The following is a 26,398-nucleotide window of genomic DNA, read 5'->3' as shown; positions in this document are numbered from 1 at the left end:
TGTATCTTTCCCCTATTGGCTAGAGTTGGACCGCACACTATAAGCTAATTTTGACCGGCTACTTCAAAGAGGACGGGGTGCAAGCCAGAGTGGCAGGGTGGGTAGTTTCCTCAGGAAGGATGGTTACAGAGCAGGTGACTAAAGATGACTAAGGACAGAGCAAGTGACTAAGAATGACTAAGGACAGAGTAGGTGATAGGGACTAGGAGGAGGTCGTTTACTGAAACTAGGGGCAAGGAGGCATAAAGAATGAGGAAGTTAAACTTTAAAATGGAGAACAAAGAACAGAGAAGCTGAACATATTGACTTATTGGCTCTTTGAAGAGGAACTGAGAACTCACTGTACTTAACAATCTTCCCTCTCTTGAATTTTAAAGGACGTTAACAGGTTAAAACCTTTGAAGAGTAATTCACTGTATTCTACAATTGCCTCTTTCAATTTTTGTAGCCCTTCCTCTTCAAACCTTTTTAACATGTCTTGGCTTTTTTTTTTTCAACTTGATCCTCTAAAAGGAAAAGCCTATCTGAATAAGGTGGCGGACAGCTAAGGGAGGTTTTAGAAAGTGTTGTTTCTATAAGCCTTTGCACTAGCCCATGGATGCATGGTATGACACAACACCCAACAAGAATGAGTACACCCGTTACTGCTGTAAGAGAAGTAAGAATTGGGACTATGATTTCTTTCCATTTACTGAACCACCTTTCTAGCCATCTTGAGAAAGGGTTATTGACTCCAGAATTTTTAGCTAATTCATTGGATAAAGTAGTAAATCCTTGTAGGGCCCTTGTTATGCTCCCATTGGGGGCAGTGTTGTTTGCCCCCAATGGATAAAGGTACAACACTGAGTTTTAATCGTAACACAAACACCACTTTTTCAGCTAATATCGTATCTAGGGCCATTCTGTTTTCCCAGGCCATCTGGCTAGTGGGCCTCAATTGTTCTGCTATTCCCTTGACAACATCCCTGCTGTAATTAACAAACCACTGTTGATTATTATAGATGTAATTTATCCAATCTACGTTTTTATTGTCACCCACCAAAATATCGATTCAAATCCGGTAGCTATTTGATCTTGGGCTTAAATGTATCTGGTACTCCTCATGGGATTCCAATAGCATCTAAATAAACGTGGGAGTCAAAAGACACATAAAGGACTTCCCTTGCTTTACGATGTTGTGGTTTCCCTTTTTCTGGTTGATGAAATGCCAGAGTGAAAAGTATAGCCAACTAGACTAGAGCAAGAGCGCTGCTCCAGTTACTTGGCAGAGTGTCCTGTAAAGGTCCACCACAATAGCACCATAAATCTGCTCAGGGGTGTATAAGGGCTGACTGATTGGTAAGCTCTTGGAAAGTCTTAAGCTTACTGCATCCTTTTAGGTCTCCAAGCAAAGCTAAGTTTCCTCCTTGTTGTGAGAGACATGAAGTGAACTTAGTGTCGGGAGACGGAAGCTGGTTGGCCCTTGGGGGCTGACCTGCAGGGTGTTGAACTTTGGGATATAGCAGAGAGAGAGATTGACATGACTTGTTATCCCAGGCTGTGGAACCCTGGAAAAGAGCTACCATACAGCCCATGCCTGGTCGACTGAAGGACCATCCTAGTGGAAAGGGGACAATCTGGGCCTCTGGTCTGCCGTGTGCACAAGCATAACAATTGCTTTTGTTTAAAGTGTGAATGGAGTATTTGATCCATTCCAACCAGGCATTCGCATCTTGATATCCTGTCTCAGTTGCCAAAGTTTGTTTTAACTTCTACAATAGCTACCTTGGTCTTGTCATTAGATGGAGGAGGAACAACAGTTTCATTGTGAGAGTTTTTGGAAGAAGACTTAGGGGAAGCTGTAGACAGTAGGGGAGCAATGAAGCATATTTCAAAGATCCAATAGGGTCTATTTCTGAAAACTCAGCCCCCATATCATAAAACCAGCTTAAAGAAGGGAAGTGACTTAGAGAAGGGGAAGAACTTTGAGAGTTTGAAATAATAAGCTGTATTGAGTTACACTAGTTTACCTGAAAGTTAGGGGGAGCTATATCTTTAGTAAAATGAATGTATGGTTTTAGGAATTACAACTACTGGTTGGGGCAGTCCATCCTTGCTCTCACTTGCACATAGTTGGACCAACTACGTCATAAAAGCTTTGTGTAAAGGGGGCAAGACTCCCAGTTGACACTGGGGTCTTCATTGAAACTTTCCCAGACTAAATGATCCAAATTCACTAATGTCCAGTCTGAGGACAGCCGGGAAGTACAGAGGTACTTTTCTGAAGTGGAGAGCTGTCTTTGGCCTGACAAGGCTCCACAAGGTATAACAAGGCAAGCATCAAATGTAATAGTTTCAGGCAAAATGGGTTCCATTGTCTAAGTCAATGTTTTCTATTAGCCTAAACCTGGGCACTATATTTTCAATTAAGGCCTTAACTACATTATTGGCCATCACATTTGAAAAGGGAATAGCTTTGACCCAGTGAGTAAGGTGATCTACTGTCACTAGTAAATATTTTAGACGACCTATTGAAGGCATCTCTGTGTAATCAATCTGGATACTTTAAGTCTGGACTCCTTCTACCAAGGGGTAATCTTTTTATAGTTTGTTTATTAGTTTTCTTACACACTATGCCACTGTCTGTAACCTGTTTGGCCAGAGTATAAATCCCTATACACCCAAAAACTTTCAGAACTCTGTCACACATGGCTTGGGACCCCAGTGGGTCCCTTGATGAAGTTGGGACAAGTTTTCCCTCATAAGGGGTTTGGACAACATTTCCCTCTGCTCTGGCAGTATCCACTTTTCTTTTGAATTCTCCTTAGCACCTATTTTTATTAGTTTCTCTTTTCCGTGGAGGAGAAAATGGAGATTATGTCAGGAGGAGGAAGGTAAAGAGTTCAGTGAAAAATAGATGTTTTAAAAGAAATGGCAGCCTGTTTGCCTATGTAATCTGCTAGGTTATTTCCTAGACTGTCAAAAGAAAGACTTTTCTGGTGTCTGGGGACATGGACAGTCACTATTTCTTCTGGCAACTGAAGGTTATTCAATACTTGGGTGAATAGCTCCTTATGAACAAGATCTTGACGTTTACTATTAATGAGACCTCGTTCAGTCCAAATTTTTCCGAATCTATGAGCCACTCCAAAGGCGTACTTAGAATTGGTATAGATGGCTCCTTCCTAGTTCTGCAAGTACTTTAAGGCTCGGCTGAGTGCAAACAGCTCACAAGTTTGGGCAGTCCAATTATTAGACAATTTTCCTGCCTCAATTTCTTCAAGAGTTTCTCCATCAATTACTGAATTCCCTGTTGCATCTTTTTGCCTCAATCACCTGGGAGGAGCCATCTATAATTAAGTGTCATCCCATCCTGAAGGGAGTTTATCCTAGGTCTTGTCAGACCTTTGTATGGTAATCAGTTAAATCTAAACATGTGTGCTATCTCTTTAGATTTGGATCCCCTATTAGAAAAACTGCTGCGTTAAGAGAATTATCAGTGGTTAATGTTAAATCATCTTTTTCTAACAGAATAGTCTCATACTTTAAGATTCTTGAGTCAGTAAGCCACCTCCCTGCTTTCTGATTTAAGATATTTCTAACTTGATGGGGCTTTCTCACTGTCAATTTTCCTCCAAAGGTTAACTTCCTGATTTCTTTGACCATTAGTGCTGTAGTCACAATGGATTGGATACATTGAGGCCACCCACTAGTAACTGAATCTAAGGCTTTTGACAGGAAGGCCACGATGGGCTGCTGATGGCCTCCGTGTTCTTAAGTGAGCACTGCTAATGCTACCCCATTATCCACGTTGACAAAAAGGTGGAATGGCTTTTCTAGGGAAGGTAAGGCTAAGACAGGGGCTGTTATAAGCCTTTTTATCTGCTCTTCAACCTGATCGACTTCTTCAGAGGTCCACAGCAGGTCGTCAGTCTTCCCCTCGGCAAATTTTGGATATAGAAGTTTACTGTTTAGTGCATGTGAGTTAATCCATAAGCAGCAGTATCCAACTAACCCTAAAAATTTCCTGAGTTCTTGTTTAAGTTTGAGGCAAGGGTAGGGACACGATTCCCTCAACTCATTCAGGCCCTATTCTTCACTTCTCTGCACTTATCAACTGGTCTAAATATTTAATTTCAGGTTCTACATACTGAAGCTTTTTTCTTCGAGACTCATAACTCCTCGAACTGCAGATGGTTGAGAATATGTGTAGAGAAGCCAGCTACCTTCTCTATATCTTCACCAGATATAAGAATATCATCAACATATTGGAGCAGGCATATTTGTTTGGGATGATAACTTTTTCTAATACTTGTTCTAAAATTTGACTGAAAAGGTTAGGGGAGTCTGTGAACCCTTGGGGTAAGACTATCCATCGATAGTGTTGTTTCTACCCTGAATGGGGATCCTCCCACTCAAAAGTAAATATATCTTGCCTATCTTCTGCCAGGAGACATGCCCAAAAAGCATCCTTCAAATCTATTACAGTAAACCATTGATTATTATATGGAATCTTGCTGAGAATTGTGTAAGGATCGAGGACAATGGGGTGGGTAGATTGGACTATTTGGTTAATAGCCCTAAAGTCCTGTACCAGCCGGTATGACCCATCTGATTTCTTGACTGGCAATGTTGAGGTGTTTTAAGGGGACATAGAGGGCTCAAGAAGCCCATTTTTAATAAGACTTTCAATTATAGGTTTCAAACCTATCCTGCCCTCTAGGGGAATGAGGTATTGTTTCCTCCTTACTACTTCCTTGGGGATTTTTAGCTTGATGTGGTTGGAGGGACTCAGAGGTTCCCTCAGTTTCCTTCTTTGGATCAGACATTAGGATTAATATATTTGTCATCTGCAGTGGTGAGTAGCTTTAATGAGGTGAGGAAACCTCTTGGGCCGAGTTGCAGGCTTATGCCTAACTTCAACATTAAATCCCTCCCTAGTAAATTAGTCCCTGCTTTAGGGATTAGCAAAAACTGAATATGAGCTGATTGAGCCTGGTATCTGACTTCTGTGTTTTCTAAAATTTTTGCTTTAAATCCTTCTCCATTTACCCCACAAACCAAAAGTTCCCCTGAAGAGTAGGCAATATTAGATGGGGGGAAAACAAACAGAGGATCGAGCCACTCCTGAATTGACTAAAAATGTTATAAAATCATGCTTAGGTCCCACTTCTAGACTTATCAAGGGCTCCTGGTGGGACTCAAGATAAAAGAGACAGAACCCCTGACCCCATTATTCTTCCTCAAAAGCCATGAGTGGAAGGGCCTCTTTTTCCTTTTCTAATTTGGGACATTCTCTCTTGAAGTGGCCTGTTCTTCCACATTTTTAGTGCCTACCTTGCCCTTCCCCACTCTCAGTTCTGGGATTCTTTGATTTTACTCCCCTATACTATTTAGATGGCCTGGTAGACGAGAGCCTTGATCCTCCCAATGGAGGCTTGGGTCCTTTAAAGGAGGGTTTGGAACCTTTATAGTTTCTGGCCCACTGGAAGCTCTGTTTAGGGGTACATGGATTTGGAGCCATCTGTTGGAAGGTGAATAACATAAGTTTTGTCTTTTGTTTTTGCTTTTCTTCGTCTCTCTTCACAGATACTTTTTGAATCTCTCTGAGAAGTTCACTTGAGGTCAGTTTTCCCAATCTTCTAATTTTTGTAACTTTTTTGAAATATCTGGACAACGTTGGCTAGGCGCAGTGGCTCATGCCTGTAATCACAGCATTTTGAGAGGCTGAGGTGGATGGATCACGAGGTCAGGAGATTGAGACCATCCTGGTTAACACAGAGAAACCCCGTCTCTACTAAAAATACAAAAAAATTGCTGGGCGTAGTGGTGGGCGTCTGTAGTTCCAGCTACTGGGGAGGCTAAGGCAGGAGAATGGAGCAAACCCTGGAGGCGGAGCTTGCAGTGAATCAAGATTGCACCATTGCACTCCAGCCTGCGTGACAGACAGAGACTCCATCTCAAAAAAATAAAAAGAAATATCTGGACAAATTTTTTTATTTTTTTATTTTTATTTTTTTTTTATTATTATACTTCAAGTTTAGGGTACATGTGCACAATCTGCAGGTTAGTTACATATGTATACATGTGCCATGCTGGTGCGTTGCACCCACTAACTCGTCATCTGGCATTAAGCATATCTCCCAATGCTATCCCTCCCCCTCCCCCCACCCCACAACAGGCCTCAGAGTGTGATGTTCCCTTTCCTGTGTCCATATTATCTCATTGTTCAATTCCCACCTATGAGTGAGAATATGTGGTGTTTGGATTTTTGTTCTTGCGATAGTTTACTAAGAATGATGATTTCCAATTTCATCCATGTCCCTACAAAGGACATGAGCTCATCATTTTTTATGGCTTCATAGTATTCCATGGCGTATATGTGCCACATTTTCTTAATCCAGTCTATCACTGTTGGACATTTGGGTTGGCTCCAAGTCCTTGCTATTGTGAATAATACCGCAATAAACATACGTGTGCATGTGTCTTTATAGCAGCATGATTTATAGTCCTTTGGGTATATACCCAGTAATGGGATGGCTGGGTCAAATGGTATTTCTAGTTCTAGATCCCTGAGGAATTGCCACACTGACTCCCACAATGGTTGAACTAGTTTACAGTCCCACCAACAGTGTAAAAGTGTTCCTATTTCTCCACATCCTCTCCAGCACCTGTTGTTTCCTGACTTTTTAATGATTGTCATTCTAACTGGTGTGAGATGGTATCTCATTGTGGTTTTGATTTGCATTTCTCTGATGGCCAGTGATGGTGAGCATTTTTTCATGTTTTTTTGGCTGCATAAATGTCTTCTTTTGAGAAGTATCTGTTCATGTCCTTCACCCACTTTTTGATGGGGTTGTTTTTTTCTTGTAAATTTGTTTGAGTTCATTGTAGATTCTGGATATTAGCCCTTTGTCAGATGAGTAAGTTGCGAAAATTTTCTCCCACTGTGTAGGTTGCCTGTTCACTCTGATGGTAGTTTCTTTTGCTGTGCAGAAGCTCTTTAGTTTAATTAGATCCCATTTGTCAATTTTGTCTTTTGTTGCCATTGCTTTGGGTGTTTTAGACATGAAGTCCTTGCCCATGCCTATGTCCTGAATGATAAAGCCTAGGTTTTTTTCTAGGGTTTTTATGGTTTTAGGTCTAATGTTTAAGTCTTTAATCCATCTTGAATTGATTTTTGTGTAAGGTGTAAGGAAGGGATCCAGTTTCAGCTTTCTACATATGGCTAGCCAGTTTTCCCAGCACCATTTATTAAATAGGGAATCCTTTTCCCTATTGCTTGTTTTTCTCAGGTTTGTCAAAGATCAGATAGTTGTAGATATGCGGTGTTATTTCTGAGGGCTCTGTTCTGTTCTATTGATCTACATCTCTGTTTTAGTACCCGTACCATGCTGTTTTGGTTACTGTAGCCTTGTAGTATAGTTTGAAGTCAGGTAGTGTGATGCCTCCAGCTTTGTTCTTTTGACTTAGGATTCACTTCGTGATGTGGGCTCTTTTTTGGTTCCATATGAACTTTAAAGTAGTTTTTTCCAATTCTGTGAAGAAAGTCATTGGTAGCTTGATGGGGATGGAATTGAATCTGTAAATTACCTTGGGCAGTATGGCCATTTTCATGATATGGATTCTTCCTACCCATGAGCATGGAATGTTCTTCCATTTGTTTGTATCCTCTTTTATTTCCTTGAGTAGTGGTTTGCAGTTCTTGAAGAGGTCCTTCACATCCCTTGTAAGGTGGATTCCTAGGTATTTTATTCTCTTTGTAGCAATTGTGAATGGGAGTTCACTCATGATTTGGCTCTCTGTTTGTCTGTTATTGGTGTATAAGAATGCTTGTGATTTTTGTACATTGATTTTGTATCCTGAGACTTTGCTGAAGTTGCTTATCAGCTTAAGGAGATTTTGGGCTGAGACAATGGGGTTTTCTAGATATAAAATCATGTCATCTTCAAACAGGGACAATTTGACTTCCTCTTTTCCTAATTGAATACCCTTTATTTCCTTCTGCTGCCTAATTGCCCTGGCCAGAACTTCCAACACTATGTTGAATAGGAGTGGTGAGAGAGGGCATCCCTGTCTTGTGCCAGTTTTCAAAGGGAATGCTTCCAGTTTTTGCCCATTCAGTATGATATTGGCTGTGGGTTTGTCATAGATAGCTCTTATTATTTTGAGATACGTCCCATCAATACCTAATTTATTGAGAGTTTTTAGCATGAAGAGTTGTTGAATTTTGTCAAAGGCCTTTTCTGCATCTATTGAGATAATCATGTGGTTTTTGTCTTTGGTTCTGTTTATATGCTGGATTACATTTATTGATTTGCATATATTGAACCAGCCTTGCATCCCTGGGATGAAGCCCACTTGATCATGCTGGATAAGCTTTTTGATGTTCTGCTGGATTCGGTTTGCAAGTATTTTATTGCGGATTTTTGCATCAATGTTCATCAAGGATATTGGTCTAAAATTCTCCTTTTTGGTTGTGTCTCTGCCTGGCTTTGGTATCAGGATGATGGTAGCCTCATAAAATGAGTTAGGGAGGATTCCCTCTTTTTCTATTGATTGGAATAATTTCAGAAGGAATGGTACCAGTTCCTCCTTGTACATCTGGTAGAATTCGGCTGTGAATCCATCTGGTCTGGGACTCTTTTTGGTTGGTAAGCTATTGATTATTGCCACAATTACAGCTCCTGTTATTGGTCTATTCAGAGATTCAACTTCTTCCTGGTTTAGTCTTGGGAGAGTGTATGTGTTGAGGAATTTATACATTTCTTCTAGATTTTCTAGTTTATTTGCATAGAGGTGTTTGTAGTATTCTCTGATGGTAGTTTGTATTTCTGTGGGATTGGTGGTGATATCCCCTTTATCATTTTTATTGCATCTATTTGATTCTTCTCTCTTTTCTTCTTTACTAGTCTTGTTGTGGTCTATCAATTTTGTTGATCCTTTCAAAAAACCAGCTCCTGGATTCATTAATTTTTTGAAGGGTTTTTTGTGTCTCTATTTCCTTCAGTTCTGCTCTGATTTTAGTTATTTCTTGCCTTCTGCTAGCTTTTGAATGTGTTTGCTCTTGCTTTTCTAGTTCTTTTAATTGTGATGTTAGGGTTTCAATCTTGGATCTTTCCTGCTTTCTCTTGCGGGCATTTAGTGCTATAAATTTCCCTCTACACACTGCTTTGAATGTGTCCCAGAGATTCTGGTATATTTTGTCTTTGTTCTCATTGGTTTCAAAGAACATCTTTATTTCTGCCTTCATTTCGTTATGTACCCAGTAGTCATTCAGGAGCAGGTTGTTCAGTTTCCATGTAGTTGAGAGGTTTTGAGTGAGACTTTTAATCCTGAGTTCTAGTTTGGTTGCACTGCGGTCTGAGAGATAGTTTGTTATAATTTCTGTTCTTTTACATTTGCTGCGGAGAGCTTTACTTCCAACTATGTGGCCAATTTTGGAATAGTTGTGGTGTGGTGCTGAAAAAAATGTATATTCTGTTGATTTGAGGTGGAGAGTTCTGTAGATGTCTATTAGGTCCGCTTGGTGCAGAGCTGAGTTCAATTCCTGTGTATCCTTGTTGACTTTCTGTCTTGTTGATCTGTCTAATGTTGACAGTGGGGTGTTAAAGTCTCCCATTATTAATGTGTGGGAGTCTAAGTCTCTTTGTAGGTCACTCAGGACTTGCTTTATGAATCTGGGTGCTCCTGTATTGGGTGCATATATATTTAGGATAGTTAGCTCTTCTTGTTGAATTGATCCCTTGACCATTATGTAATGGCCTTCTTTGTCTCTTTTGATCTTTGTTGGTTTAAAGTCTGTTTTATCAGAGACTAGGATTGCAACCCCTGCCTTTTTTTGTTTTCCATTTTCTTGGTAGATCTTCCTCCATCCTTTTATTTTGAGCCTATATGTGTCTCTGCACGTGAGATGGGTTTCCTGAATACAGCACACTGATGGGTCTTCACTCTTTATCCAATTTGCCAGTCTGTGTCTTTTAATTGGAGCATTTAGATCTGGACAACTTTTAGTGTCAAAATGGAGTTTTAACCTTCCCTGTCCCAGGGGACGTTCCAAATTTAGGCCTGCATATTGTCTCATCTGCTCCTTTAGTCTGTCTAATAATTTCACAGTCCACTCATCTCTCTCCTGTTGTATATCAAATGCTTTAGAGAGATTTTGAGTTTGGGGTACTGATTCCCTAGTTTCTTTCATTATCATTTCCCTTATGTCTTGCATGTTTTCTTGGTGAGCTGCGTTATCATTATCCCACTGGGGATCTTCGGCAGGGAATTTTTGGTCTGTGGTAGGAACGTTTTGACAAGGAGGGTGTTCATATTCCCAAACTGCCATAGCAGCCCTATGGATCAGATCATGCTTCTTTCCTCCTCCAAAAAGAGGATGCCTAGGATGGACATAAACTCGACCCAAGTGTATAACTGAGGTCCCAAGAATTGATCAACCTGATTTGCTACCTCATAAGGTTCGTCTAACAATGGCTTAATTTCCTTTTTCAAACTTCAGGCTTCTGAACTGGTCAAGGGAGCCTTCACAAATACAATGGCTCCTCCTCCTTGTGGCATGTCTTTTAAGGGGAAGAGAGTTGGGGCTGACTCCTTAGGTGTGGAGAGAAAAGGGAAGTTCTGAATGTCCTATTTACATTGCTGTACCTCATGCTGGAGTCCCTTTAAGGAGAGGTATTTAGGTTGACAGGGGACAGGCTCATGGGATGATAACTCCCAAGAATTAGAGTTGTAAGGAGGAGGAACATCATGAGCAGGAGAAGGATCTGGGGTGGGATCTGGGGTGGCAGCAGCTGCCCAAGGGGAAGGGTCAGAGGCACTGAGCAGGGCAAAATGGTATAGGGGATCCCATGTGCTGGCTTTAGGTGTGGGAGTCAGCTCGTCTGACTTTTCAATTTGAGATGCTGGATCGGGTTCTTCCCTAGTTGTCTTTAAGGGAATAAAGACAGGTCCCTGTCTCCAACAAAGAGCATAGTCTAGTTCTTCTTGAGAAACCAGATTTTTATCATTAACATATTGAATTAGAAGTTGACACATTACATCCTCATTCGACCCAAACTTTGGCCAGAAGATTGAGGGTTTGAAAATGGGACATTGGGTCCAAATGAAACAGCAATATTTTATCTTCTGATGCTTTTTCTTATGTTTACTCCTCTCATTATCCTTCCAATATTTTAACATGAGACCCAGGGGACTATCAGGGGGCATGTCTTTGTTACTATCCTCTTCTTTTTTGCTCCCTGTCTTACTTGGGGCTTTTCCCATGTTAGGTCCTGGTTAGGCTCAATCCCACATGCTAGAGATTTCTTCCCTATCTTTTAACCCCACCTACTGGAGGCTCCTTGCCCCCTTCTTTTGCTTCATCCACTCTGGTTGCTTCCCTCCCAGGAATTTTAGGTCCCTCTTAGCATTGGCACCATGGTATAAAACCCACAGCAGGATCTGCCCTGAGCCCTGTGAGGATACAGTGAATTCCTCTTCAAAGGTTTTTTATTCAAATAAAAAACCGCAGATAGGACCCACTCACTCCTCACAGCAATAATGCTTAGTATCATCCACACAAACAGCACCACAAGCAGTAGTGCTTGTGATCATTCACACACACTTTCAACCTCCAGAATATCCCGACCACCAAGGAAATACTTTGTCACCCCTGTGACATTTCTTACCTCAGTCTATGCACAGTTACATGGTCACCACGGCATGTGAAGATCCTTTCCCCAAAGATGCTGGCCTGTTTCTTTCCACGTTGCTGAGAGCCCAGGTTTATTAATCGCACCAGTTGAGTCTTGATTCCTTACCTTTATGGCCACTGCAACAAGGCAGCGGGGTGCGCCTCCTCATGGGAGAGGACTGGACCCTCCCCCAGAGGAGAATGGGAATGCTGGGTGGGCCCCCAAATTTGTGGAAAATAAATTTTTGGTGCCACAAAGAACAGTCAGCACTCCAGCCACAAGTTTTTACAGCAAGGCAAAATTACTTCTATGGAAGAGTGGTCTTGCAGATGGAGCAATGGCAAGATCACACCGGACAAGGGAGGGGAAAGTGTTCTTACTCCTAACGCAGCTAGTCCCTACTGTTGTGTCTTTTCCCTATTGGATAGGGTTGGACTGCACACTCTAAGCTAATTCAGATTGGCTATTTCAAAGAGAGTAGGGGTATAAGCTGGAGTGGCAGGGTGAGTAGTTTCAGCGGGAAAGCCAGTTACAGAGCAGGTGTCTAAGGATGACTAAGGACAGAGCAGGTGACTAAGAATGACTAAAGACAAAGCAGGTGTTAGAGGCTAGGAGGGGGTTGTTTAATGAAACTAGGGGCAAGGAGGCATAACGAACGAGGAAGTTAAACTTTAAAACGGAGAAAAAAGAACAGAGAAGCTGGACATACTGACATATTTTTTTTTTGATGAGGAACTCAGAACTCACTGTACTTAATCTTCCCCCTCTTGAATTTTAAAGGATTTTTACAGGCTAAAATCTTTGAAGATGAATTCACTGTATCCTATTCGTCAGGTGTTCTTTCCACCAAGCTTTCAGCCATGTCAGGTGTTCTTTCTGCCAAGGGTGCAGCCTCGTCAGGTGTTCCTTCAGATGTTCCTTCTGCCAAACACACAGTCTGGTTAAATTTTCCTTTGGCTAAATATCATCCTTCTGACTCTTAACTTGCAAAACTTCTACTCATTCAGCTTGCTTTCTTTAAATACTACCAAACTTTTGTTTTCTCCTTATTTTTTTTTTTTGAAACAAGAGCCTTGCTCTGTCACCCAGGCTGGAGTGCAGTGGCACGATCTCAGCAGATCACTGCAACCTCCGCCTCCTGGGTTCATGAAATCCTCAGCCTCCCATGTAGCTGGGATTACATATGCATGCCACCCAGGCCCAGCTAATTTTTTGTATTTAGTAGAGGTGGGATTTCACCATGTTAGGCAGGGTGGTCCCAAACCCCTGAGCTCAAGCAATCCGTCTGCCTTGGTCTTCCAAAGTGCTAGGATTACAGGAGTGAGCCACCGCTCCTGGACACTATCAAACTTTTTAAAGCTTTAATTCTTCACGTTGGATATAAAATGTCTGACACATACTGAATATGGTAATGACATAATAAGTGATAATTATAAGCTCCCAAAGGGGTTCTGGCACAGAGTAAGCACTAAATAAAGTAGTAAATAATAAAAAAGATGATAATAACAAGAAAAATGCTTAGTACCTTAATAAAGTAGTAAATAATAAAAAATGACAATGATAATAACAAGAAAGATGCTTAGTACCCTAAAGATACCTGACAGTTATTTGTTAAGTGGACAAGTGGATAAACAAATAAAAAACATAGTTAGGAAATTCTGTTGGAAAAATGCAGAAATTCAATAGAGACAGCTCTAATGTATTATGAGCACCTTAAAGACCCAGACTATGTGTATTCCATCTTGGTCTCCTGCAACTTGCAAAATCTAACTTATAGAAGTCCTTTGATAAATATGTAATAAATTAAAGAAGTGCTAATACAGTTCATATTGTACAATGTATTGTGTCACATTTAGGTATCACAGTAGCACTTTTGTTATTGTGAAAACTTTTTCCACTTTTATTATAATTTGTTGAGCCTAGAATTGAGCTAGTTGGATATTTATAATGATAATATTTTGGCTAGTAGGAACAGAGTAACTTGTTGTAACAAAATTACTATTAACACACTAATTATCCAGCAGATAGAACAACATATCTTGTTCTAATGAAGTAAATATATCTTATTTGGTTTCAACTTAGAGGGAATGAAGTAGATAATAGTGAGACCTTGTTGGTACAAGACTATGTAACATAACCTGCACTTCTCAACAAAGAATTGCTTTTCTGACTTCTGCACTCGGTAGGTATCTTTGAAAAATAATCTCCTATTGGTACTGATGCACCCTCGTTAAGTTATGTTAATTCTTATTGACATTCATTTATGGTTCAAGAAAAGTATTATTGAGTTCCAAATTCTAAAGAGAGTTACTTTTTTAGTGACACAAGTCACTATGCCACACAGTTGATCTTTGAATAAGGGTTTTCACTCTAGGAGCCCACTAATAGACAGATTTTTCTTTTCCTTTGCCACTGCAAGATACCAAGACAAATCTCTCCTCTGCCTCCTCCTTATCAGCCTACTCAATGTGAAGGCAATGAGAATGAAGTCCTTTATGTATAATTCACTTCCATCTTATAAATAGTGAACATATTTCTTCCTCTTTATAACAGTTTCTTTTCTCCAGCTCACTTTATTCTAAGAATACAGTATATAGTACATATAAAATAGAAATTATGGGTTAATTGACTGCTTCTGCTTTCACCTTTTTTCAGGCTCCAGGTCAACAGTAGACAATTAGTAGAGTTTTGGAGGAGTCAAAAGAAACCGATTTTCATATAAAGCAGATTTTCAGTTGCATGGGGGGATGAGCACCCTAATTCTCATCTTGCTCAAGACTCAACTGTAATTAATTCTAATTTTCTAAATGCAAATCATTTATTGTAAAAATTAAATAAATCCCCGAAGTTCAAGACCATCCTGGGCAACATAAGGAGACCTTGTCTCTACAATAAAGAAACAAACAAAAAAATAAATTATTTTTTTATTTAACAAATAAACATTTTATATGTTTGTTTATGTTTAATAAACAAACATAAATATTTGTTTATTTAACAGTTTATTTAACTGTGTTCCTTTATAGTTTATAATATTCAAATGTTGCAGTTTTCTGTTATTAATTCCTACTTTTCATTATTAGATGTTCTATTATTTGTGGCTTGTAATTCAAGGCATCTAAGCTATTTTATAATTTGTAATAAAGTTTATTTATAAATATATTAATTCATTAAATTTGATAAGCTGATAATCCCCTATTACTGAGTTCATCAATCACACCAAGGATTCTACATTTTATAACAAGCATAAATTGTTATGACAGTTGAGAAAACATACAATATATAAACTTAAAAATTGTTTTACTTATTTATACAAAAGTATTATATAGGATATTAGGGACCACAATTAAACAAATATCTTTTCAGATAATATTTTTGAGATTATAAACCACCTACAACTAAATTCTTAATGAATTCTGAATTATAAACTAAAAAATTAAATCAAAGCTATGTATATATAAAAACACTTACATATAGATATATATGTAAACACTTGCTACTTACACATTGCTTTTTTAATAGCTCTTTTGTGATCAACACTCCTATAATCTCATGGTAGCACCACCAAGAGTAGTTTACTATCAGATGTCTTACCTGGATTGTTATTTTGAGAATTTTTAGATATCTTTTGTTTGTATTCCAAAAGTTGTTGATGAATGCCTTGTATAAAAATGAAATAAATAAAATTACTATTTTAACATTGATATAAAAAACATTTACCAAATTTATTAAGTTCTTAGGGTATTTCAGACAACATTAGAGCTAACATCAGAACATTACTTTTTCCACAGTCTTTAAGTTTGTAAGCTCTATGAACTTATTAAGCTTCTAATTAAAGAAGAAAGAAAGATAAAACACTCATGAAGTGAGGGCAGTATAACTCAGTAAATTAACCAGAGGTAGCTTGATATATGGAAAATATCCTTACCTCAGAATAAGTCCTAGCATGGCTACCAACAGGTATTTTTTCTTGAACAAGTTGCTTCTCTTAGACTCAATGTCTTCTAACGATGAGGATTTTAGGGCCTTATTTCACTATGTTATTATAAAGATTTAACAAGATAACATTTTAAAAATGCTTAAAATAAAAAGTGAAGCAAAAAAATAATTTGTTCTTGAACATTATTGCTGAAACTATTTTAAAATTCCCAAAAAACCCAATGTATTGGCCTGGTGCAGTGGCTCATGCTTGTGATGTAAGCACTTTGGGATGCTGAGACAGGAGGATTGCTTGAGTCCAGAAGTTCAAGACCAGCCTGGGCAACGTAGGGAGGCCATATCTTTACAAAAATTAAATTACAAAAAAAAATGTGTTTCTTCATAGGTTATAATATTCAAATATTGCAATTTCCTGTTATTAATTCCTACTTTTGGATATTAGATGTTCTATTCTATGTGGCTTGTAATTCAGAGCATCTAAGCTATTTTATATTTTGTAATGAAATTTATTTATACATATATTAAATCATTAAATCAGATAACCTAATTATACTCTATTACTGAGCTCATCAGTCACGCCAAGGGCAGAAAACTAATAGATGTCAGCATGTGGCTTGGAATACTACTACTCTTAATCTACCTCCTTAAATTCTGAACCAACAAATCTTTGTTAGAATGACGCTTAGTCACTATGTTCATTTCCAGCTGCTGTGGAAGACAAAACCCTACTTTCATTTTTTGTAAGTTCCACAAAGAAGATGCAAGTTGGTATTTTCTCATTTCAGAGATCCCTACTAACAAAATATTGCACACAAGATCCTATGGGTTACCACATCTCATTTCATAGACCACCTTACATAAATAATTTTTTGTATGAAAATCACAATTGCAATACTTGGTGTCACCCATTTTGCTTTGACTCACACCATTTCCTTGGAGCTAGTTAGAAAGTAGTAAAATGTCCTTTTGGGGACTGCAAGAAATATGCAACACTTTACAGATTTCTATGTCATCCTTGTGTGGGGACCGTGCTGATCTTCTCAACGTTGTTTCAATTTTACTATATGTACCACTGAAGCCAGCACAAATCCTTATTTTTATACGTGAAGACTGATCAGTGATGGATGAGGCTTAGCTCTGTTAAATCTAACCAACTTACTTGAGATTTAGTGAAGTCTATTGAATGGCTTCATGGTGATGCAGCATTTGAAAATATTTTAAAATCTCGAGGTAGAGATGTAAGTAGCATGGGAGATTTTTACTTTTAGGAAAAAAGAATCACTTGAGGGGACAACCACAAGTTGGAACCCACTACAACTTGGGAAAGATGACATGGGATTTTACAGAATAAGGTGAGACTTTCCACTACCTACAAAATGGTGCTACACAGGATATAAAGGGCCAGGGATATAAATCTGTTAACAAAGACAAAATGGATCTCTAATTTCTTCCTGTAACATTATTTCAACCTGACTTACAGTTTCAAACTACCACAACTAATATTGGCTAGAGAAAATAGAAAAAAGCCACTCAAAGGATAACTTACCATGAAGGTCTAGGCCATGCCCAGGCTAAGATGTGGGTTTCACATCAGGTTTTGGGTGTGAGGAGAAGGGTCAATTTGCTCACTATGTGTGTGGCTAAAGCTAAAAGTTCTAGCTGCCAGAGTAGGGTGCTGGTACTTTGGAAACAATGGCTAAGAATATGTACGTGAATTTTAAAAACATGTAGTAACTTCAAAGTCTACACCATGAAGACTGAGGGATCTGTGTTAATAAGGGCATCCTGGTCACAAAAGTCAATCATTACCAGACTGCAGGAGCAGTTTCAATGGCAACGATGCAGCAACAGAATCAATGGAAACAACAAAATGAAGAGAATGGGCATTTCCCCCCCAATCCTTCTGACTTGTACAAAAGGAATGTCTTCCTTGGACTTAGGTTCAGTTTCTTTTAAAAAATTCAAGAATGAAGGTATGGAAGACAGCCCCCTGGGGACACTATCAGGTTTTCTGCTTAAAGTGGACATTTCGAGACCCAAATAACTAATTAGGAAAACCAAAATTGTGACTTTATGTTTATCCCATGCATAGGGGTTATACTTCAAATCAAGTAGACAACATTTGCATCCCTAAAGCCCTAAAACAGAGAATCCTGGAGCCATTACTCCTTCTAAATAGTCTAGCTTTTTGCCTAGTTTCTGGCTGATGAAGTGAACTAACTCACTGTCATTCAAAAACTACCTGAAACAAACTATAAAATCTCACCTAACCTTTAAATGTAAACACTTACAGATTAAATCCACAAGCAACAGCATAACGTTCTGCAATCATTCCACACGTATCTACAGCACAGATGTCAACATTTTGCTGAAGAACCATGCCAACTATCTCTGATGATCCATGACATATGGCAAGCATGAGGGCTGTGCTAAAATAACAAAGAGATAACTTCATTATTAGGAACAGAACCAATTTAATATGTGCCTGTCAGTGTAGAATTAACCATTTACATGTATTAACAAATGTTAAGTATCTTGAGTGCTCAAGTGTTTATCCTTGTAAATCACGACCAAGGCTAAAAGGAAGGGGTGAAAATACTCATGTCTCACTGGGATATGGCATAGTAGAATTGGCTAACATAAAGTCCACTGAGGGGCAAGAAAATATGTTCTGTTCACTAATCTAAAAGAGGCAAAGTTTTAAGTGGAGAATTATCTATTTCCTCCTTAGTTTGATATAATATTTTGTACTTCAAAATTAGCTAGAAGTCGGACAAGTGAGAGCAATCTGAAGACTTAAAACAATATTAGGAATAATATTTGTCCTGAGTAGCTGGGACTATAGGCATGTGCCACCATGCTTGGCTAATTTTTATATTTTTCATAGAGATGGGGTTTTACCATGTTGGCTAGGCTGGTCTCAAATTCCTGGCCTCAGGTGATCTACCCACTTGGCCTCCCAAAGTGCTGGGATAACAGATGACAGCTACCATGCCCAGCAAATATTGCATTTTTAAAAAGTGTATGAAAAACAGAAGTTAGAAAAATACTATAAAGGTGTTAATCATTCAATATTGAATTATAAAGTAAACTAAAAATTCATACTTCTTAAAACTAATACAGAACCACTTTAGCTAATAGAAGATAATGCAACCAAAAACATCAGATTACAAATAAGAATCAGTCAATATAACAAAAGAAGAAAATCCTACTATATACTGTTCTTTATGTTGACCAGTCCAAATAATTGCTTTTCTTCCTAACTGATAATTTGTGTTGGTATTTTTCTGTATAATCTAATAATTTTAAGTAAATGTTATTAATTTAATATTTCTGATGAGTGTTATTACTCTAGCACACTACTCAAGTGTTTTTTAATAAAAAAAACTACTATACCATTTAAACTTATCAACTGAATTTGCATTTGCATTTGCATTTTTTGTCAGTAAAAATTCCACAATTTGCTCACTTCTTTTCCTTATGGCCAGTAAAAGTGGTGTGTGGCCAGCCTGTAAAACAGCAAAAACCATTTATAATTCATGAAATTACATATTTCTCAGCTGAACTGAATACCTTATATAATATCCTATGAACTTAAACAATGGAAAGTAAATCAATAGCAATCCCTTCTTTCTCACTTTTCTGTGCTTTCCCATGCACTGCACCTTCTCTTGTAAACATTCAGCCTCTGCATCACCACATTAACTCCGGTTATCTCCAAAAATCATTATATTGTAATGATTTTATTGTTTCCCATTTAAACCAGGAGCTTCTTGAGGGCAGGGGCTGTATCTTTTACCTTTATATCCTTAAACCCTAAGACATAGTAGTAAATACTTTGTTTTTTACTAAATTAGTAATCTAAATTATTACCTCTAGAACAGTGTTTCTTCAACTATATTCCAAAGAATAATTACCTTACCAGAATCATTGTACCCCAACAGATTCCACCATTATCTATTTTCAAGAAATGTTATAAAACTGTGAATTAAATGTTCATTATTCAAGAAATGAATTGAACTTTACCTAATCCTTATTTGACAGTATATTTTTGTGGCAAACATTAACATTTGACAAATTAGAATTTCAGGGATGCAGTTTTGAAAGCTTCCCCCCAAAAATGGAGGTTTCCTCTGAGTGATACAAACTTACTTGATTCTCTTCTCTCAATGATCCCAAGATTCCAGATGACAATGTCAGGCACTCCTGCTCTAAATGGGTCACTAAGGAAGTGGCTCTAAATTAAAAGAGATTGGCTTCAAATAAACTTTGATTGCTTATTATTAAATGGTCCATGGGGTTTATCCTATTACCAGAAAATAGGATTTTATCTAAGCTATTAGAAATTCAGTATAAAAGACCAGGTGAGGTGGTTCATGCCTTTAATCCCAGCACTTTGCGAGGCCAAGGTGGGCAGATCACAAGGTCAGGAGATCGAGACCATCCTGGTCAACATGGTGAAACCCCATCTCTGCTAAAAATACAAAAAATTTAGCCGAGCATGGTGGCACATGCCTGCGTCCCAGCTACTCAGGAGGCTGAGACAGGACAATCGCTTGAACCAGGGAGGCAGAGGTTGCAGTGAGCCAAGATCACACCACTGCACTCCAGCCTGGTGACAGAGCGAGGCTCCGTCTCAAAAAGAAAAAAAAAGAAAAAAAGAAAAGCAATTCAGTATAAAAGTTTATTCTCAATTATAATGATACTCCTAGGATCCTAATGCATATCCACTTCTTAAAATGCAATAATCCATTTTTATTCCGGTTTCTATTGTAATTGATACTATTTTTTGGGAAAATATCAGAAGTATGAATAAAATGGCTTATTAATGAAAGTTCTAACTCATGTATATGGATTAGCAAAATAGAAGCCACTAAATCGCTTGAATTTTAAGGGACAATTCTGTGGAGAAAGATATAATATTTTCTGCAATTTGCATAACCTATTCAAATATAAACATGATTAATCTAAAAAAGCTTAAAGGCCTTCTAATAGAAAATGATTATTTATGGTTTATATGAAGAAAAATCATCATTTAAAAAATATTCTAAATTCTAGAAGACAACCCCATTACTAATGAATTAATGTAAAATATAAACTATATATTATAAACACCTGTAAACTGTCTTCAATAACTTGAAATCTTTACCAAAATATACTATGAGAGAGGAATTGATAACTGAAATATTTACAGAGGCAAAAGAGGTAAGTTGAATAAGTGATGTAACTAGGTGGACACAGTAGCAAACTGGAAACATATGCTTTATGTAAAGTTAGAATGTCTTCATAGCATACCAAACAGTCATACAGGCTCAAGAGACACCAGATTCAATCCTTTAAGAGGAAATCCAGATTTCTGCATGTCTCCTAAATTTTACATGTTGACTCAATTTATGCAGGCAAATTTTACTTTCCTGTAGTTTTATGCTAACAGGAAAGAAAAAAAAAACAGGTGGGAAAGAATATTTGAAAAATTTTACCTTTAACAAACTCAAATATTTATCATAATGCACAGAAAAGCCATACTAATAGTTCTTGTAAAAATAATAATATTTAAAGCAAAATCCTAGACAATTAAGTTTTGTCAAACTATTTTCATAGAAAAATAGGAATGTTTGAGCTTCCAAATATAAAACAATTTACATATGTTAATGTTAAAACAAATGAATTTCAAATATTTTGAAAATAACATTGGTTAACTTCTACCTTGTTCTTCACTTTGATGTCTGCACCACAGGACAGCAATTTTGCCACCACTGACAAATTCTCACCATAAACAGCATAATGGACAGCTGTGTTGACATACACATCTACAATATTTGGATCAGCACCAGAATCTATGAGAATATTTGCACAAACTTCCCTCTGGCATTGCACAGCCTGTCAGTATTAAAGCAAGAAGTAAATTATAAATTATAGGAAATATAAATAAATATTCCACAGGTTTCACAAACTAGTTATATTTCAATGAGATACATTCATTTTTATTCTATGTATTTAAACCAAATCCATCTCCTGCTGAAAGAACTGGCTACCATTTTCCTTCATCAGAGGTGTCCCGTTTTCACCATCAAGGACGTCAAGCTGGCACTTTCTATCTACCAGAAGTGTTACTACTTCTGCATGGCCATTGGCACAGGCCCAGTGTAGTGCAGTCCTACGAGAGTGAGAGGACTTTTTAGGAAAGTTTAGTCCACTGTCTCAAAGCATATAATGATTTATGTAATTGTCAACATTAAATACCATTCTCTTTCTCTGCCTTCAAAACAAATATTTAATATTCTCCTGAAGAAAGAACAACATTCATTCACTCTTATTACTCACTACATTAATGAAAGAGTGGCCTATTTGAATAGAAAGAGCTTGGCCTTTGGATTCAGTTCAACTTGAGCTTGAATATTACTTTAAAGTCTTTCACCTTCTAGCTATCACTTAACCTTTCTGTGCCTCAATTTTCTCATCAATAAAGTGAAGATGAATACAGCAGTTATCTCACAGGACATCACTGTGATGCCTCATGAGAATCTGTGCAATGTATTTCAAAGAATTCCTAGCACATGTAACAGCTCAGTAATTGTTAGATATTGTAATTATTTCTACTACTTAACAAAGAAAACATTTTAAGTAAAATGGTACAGTTATGCCTACGTTGTGATATGTTTTAAAGGTTAGAGATAAAACTGTATTTTAATAATTCTAAGATACTCTATTTCTCATATTTTAACATCTCTGACATTGAAATGCCACTTATAAGTCATTATTTATTACAAGTACATTTTGCAGAAATTTAAAGAATCTTTTATTGGTACATAAATAAGGAGGCATCACACAATTCATGATGCCTTCCATGAAGTGGAATGCAGTATATAAAACAGGATGATGGCAGTCCTAGTCATAGGATTAACACTTAAAGAAATTTTAGCTTTTAAGAGTGCTACACAAAAGGGGAGTTGAAATAAAAACAAACTGTTAAAACAAAGTACTTCTTCAATATTTTTAAAACTTCAAGCCAAAGAAAACTTGGGATTCAAGTAGGTATGGCTCATTTTATTCCATATTTAGATTTACAGAATGTATGTAAATTCATATTTAAATTTATAGACTGCATGTAAATTAGGTATTTCCAATGATTAATATTACTATTTAAAGCTGTTATAAAATTCTGAAATCGTGGTTGGTAGTTATCTTTTACTAGTTTCTCACTTCAGAAGTGTTTTTGTTTTAAAGAAGAGAGGAAAAGCTTCAATTGAGATTCAGTCCCAGTACTCCAACTTTAAATCTCTCACTTTGCTAAGGCTGAGCAGGTAAATGTAAAATTTTTAAGGATGAAAGGATCTTGAGAGTTAATGTATCTTATACATAATAGGCATTCAGCTTACATGTGATAAACTGATTAAAAGGATAAATACAGTTGAGAAGTTCAATACCTTAAAAAAACTGCTATAAAACACTTATATTTTCTATTTTGTTTTCTTAATAATAAAAGTACACTAATCTATAATTATTGACATATATGTAATAAATCTATATATAATAAAAATATATGCCTAATAAGATGTATATGTAAATCAACAAGCACAGGTAAAAAGATTGTCTTTTGAAGATGCTAAAAGTTCACAGAATATACTAATCCACAAAAAATAATAATTAAAATATGGAAGGTGAGAAATAATTTTTACTGCTGCAAAATTATATTCTTGCTCTTCTTAAAAATTATTTCATTAATAATAAACTTTTTCTAATAGCATTGTACATGCTCAATGTGGAAATCAAAGATAATAAAAAGGAAAAACATTTTATATTAAAACCAATGCCCTCAAATAACAAATTTTATCGTATTTCATACACAATTTCAGATAACACAAGACTGTAGTCTGTGTGTATGTATAATCAAACTGAACTTTACCCTCACTTGATACACCAAAATATATTTTCAAATGTCACCTACTTCTCTACATATTTCTACCTTCAGTGGTCACATATTATCCCATGCTGTAAATTCACTGAAGTGTATTTATAAAAGCCATTATGTGGATTCTTCTTAATAATATGGTACTTACCACCAAATTGTCTACTTGAAAAGTTATCTGCAACTTAAACTTTAAATAGCATTATAAATATCACTGCTCTTTTTCCTCACAAATTTTGTAGATAGAAAACAGTATTTGATTCCTCTTTTAACTTAAATACCTTCTCTAACCAGGAAAGCTAAATATTGTTTTCTATGTGCATAGGTCACTTACAGATCTTAAGAAAATACTTTCCCAATTTTAAATTAGAAGCGAAGTACTATTTTTAGATCTGCAATTTAGATCTCTAATTTAAATTGCTCAATTTTAAATTAGAGGGTTTTTTGTTGATTTAAGTGAATTATCTATAAAATGACGATTTTTAAATCTAATATATATATACACACGCACATACATGTGCAGTAAACATTTTACAAGTATGCTGCCTTTTATTTTTTCTCATTACAGGTTAATTTAATTTTGTTTTGCTTAATTGTCCTTCAGATTGCTTGCTTCTGAGCTTCTTAGAAAGGTGTTGTCAACATAAAAATGTACCTGTGTAAATCAGTATTTATATTTTCTTCTGGTGCTTTTATCATTTTGTATATTAAAAAAATTTAATCTGTATTCCGTCAGAAATTTACCTTGTGGTATAAAAATCTAGTTTTCTCCAAAAAGTAGGCATTTCGCTTATGAAACTAATTCTTTCCCTACTAGTATAAAGTTCTAAATTCTTAGATATTTGGGTGTTTCTGGATTTTCTATTCTGTTGTATTCATTTACCTGTCTTTTCAGCTGTTATCAAATAATTTGTGATTTATTTATTTATTTTTGAGACAGAGTCTCACTCTGTCGCCCAGGCTGGAGTGCAGTGATGGAATCTCAGCTCACTGCAACCTCCACCTCCCAGTTTCAAGGGATTCTCCCTCCTCAGTCTCCCGAGTAGATGGGATTACAGGCTCCCGACATTGTGCCTGGCTAATTTTTGTATTTTTGTAGAGTTGGGGTTTCACCATATTGGCCAGGCTAGTCTTGAACTCCTGACCTCAGGTGATCCACCCGCTTTGGCCGCCCGAAATGCTGGGACTACAGGCATGAGCTACCACGCCTGGCTTTTTTTTTTTCAAATTTTATTTATTTTATTTATTTATTTATTTATTTATTTATTTATTTATTATGATTATTTTGAAACAGAGTCTCGCTCTGTCACCCAGGCTGGAGTGCAGTGGTGCGATCTCGGGTCACTCCAAGCTCCACCTCCCGGGTTCACACCTTTCTCGTGCCTCAGCCTCCCAAGTAGCTGGGACTACAGCGCCCACTACCACACCCGGCTAATTTTTTGTATTTTTAGTAGAGGCTGTGTTAGCCAGGATGGTCTCCATCTCCTGACCTCGTGATCCACCCACCTCGGCCTCCCAAAGTGCTCGGATTAGAGGCATGATCCACCGCGCCTGGCCGTGGCCCATTTTGTGCAAATTAATAGCACATTTTGAAATCTAGAAGGGCAAGACTTTTCTACTCCGTTACAAAATTTTTTAAATGTCATCACAATAGTAAAAGACAGCGTGTGTAATTTTAAAAATGTTAAAATGTTGATAACTTTGTTTGGTTTATGTAAAACTGATGAAGAGCTTGCATCTTGAGAAAAATGAGTCTTCTTAAATTCGAAAACATAAACCATCTTCCCACCTCAAAGTTACCTTCTAAGGTCCCTCAGCAAAGAACATATTTACGTAGGCATTCATTGATATTGAAATGGATACTGGACTTTATCCAAAAAATTTTTAGCCAAGAAGTTAATATATTATGGGAATTATTTCATTACGCACCATTTCATAATGTATCTAACATTATCTTTTAAAACCTGTACATTAAAAGTAAAACCCTGTATGTACTTAAATTTGTAAGTTAAATCACTTTAAAATACTCTACACAGTGCTCTGTGAGAGGAAGTGGGAGTGAAGGAGAAAGCAGCTAACTAAAGTTTGGGGTTGATTTTAAGGTGGCCTGGGCCCTCCGCCCTGCAGGGCGCCCCCATCCAAGGCCTGGGGGGCCTGCCCGGGAAGAAGGTCAAGACCTCAGGGCTCAGGACGGCCGCCCCGCTGCCCGCCACTCCTCCACCTGCTCCCCTCGTCCCCAGGACCCCCAGCCCCCACTCTGAATGGGAGATCCTCCCACAGCCGCCTCCTCCTCCTGCAGCCCCGGCTCAGGCACTGTCTGGTACCTCTTCTTCGCATCTCTTATGTTCGGGTCCATTGTCGTTTTCTTCATCATCCTCTCCAGCTTCCAGGCTTGGCCCCGGGAGGCAGCTTTGTGGATCTTCCTGAGATCCCCATGGTGAATCACTTAAGAGTCATTATTGGTGTAGACCAGCTGACTGAAGGGGCTCGGGCACTCCAGGCCCGTCTGGCCCTTGACAGCGGCGGCAGAGAGCCTCTCCATGGCTGCAGCCACCTGCTAGAGAGCGCCCGCACCTCCCGCTGCTTGCCCTTTCCAGGTCCCCGCCGCTCGCCCTTGCCCTTCTTCAGTCCCCGCACCCGCCCTGACACCAGTAGAAATCTCAGTCGGGCCAAGCTTTTGGACACTCCAGCCTCACCTGGGAGAAAAGGGCTGTGCAAAACCATTAGGCAGCTGAGCAGAACCATTAGGAAACAGCGCATGCGCAACTCAGCAGACCGGGGAGACACGCGAGGCGGGAAACGGCCCTGACTGCGCTTCGCCCAGCACCGCGTGCAGGTGGCACCTGCCACTGAGGCGCTGTCGGGCTGGCGAGGCTCCCTGGAGCGGAAGGTG

At 38.0% G+C, this 26,398-nt stretch overlaps 1 non-coding gene and 1 pseudogene across 1 annotated transcript; both read right to left on the bottom strand.

Moving 5' to 3' along the window:
* Positions 1-12,483: 12,483 nt before the first annotated feature.
* Positions 12,484-26,047, bottom strand: LOC112268290 (putative ankyrin repeat domain-containing protein 30B-like; annotated as a pseudogene).
* On the bottom strand, positions 16,575-16,681 carry LOC124905168 (U6 spliceosomal RNA). Its single transcript, XR_007068167.1, has one exon. It is a non-coding gene; the product is annotated as a U6 spliceosomal RNA (small nuclear RNA).
* Positions 26,048-26,398: the final 351 nt, after the last annotated feature.

The sequence above is a fragment of the Homo sapiens genome, chromosome 22 (assembly GCF_000001405.40).
Source record: "Homo sapiens chromosome 22, GRCh38.p14 Primary Assembly".
Taxonomy (NCBI): Eukaryota; Metazoa; Chordata; class Mammalia; order Primates; family Hominidae; genus Homo; species Homo sapiens.
Note: the sequence above shows the minus strand (reverse complement) of the source record. Positions and strands in the feature narration are given on the sequence as shown.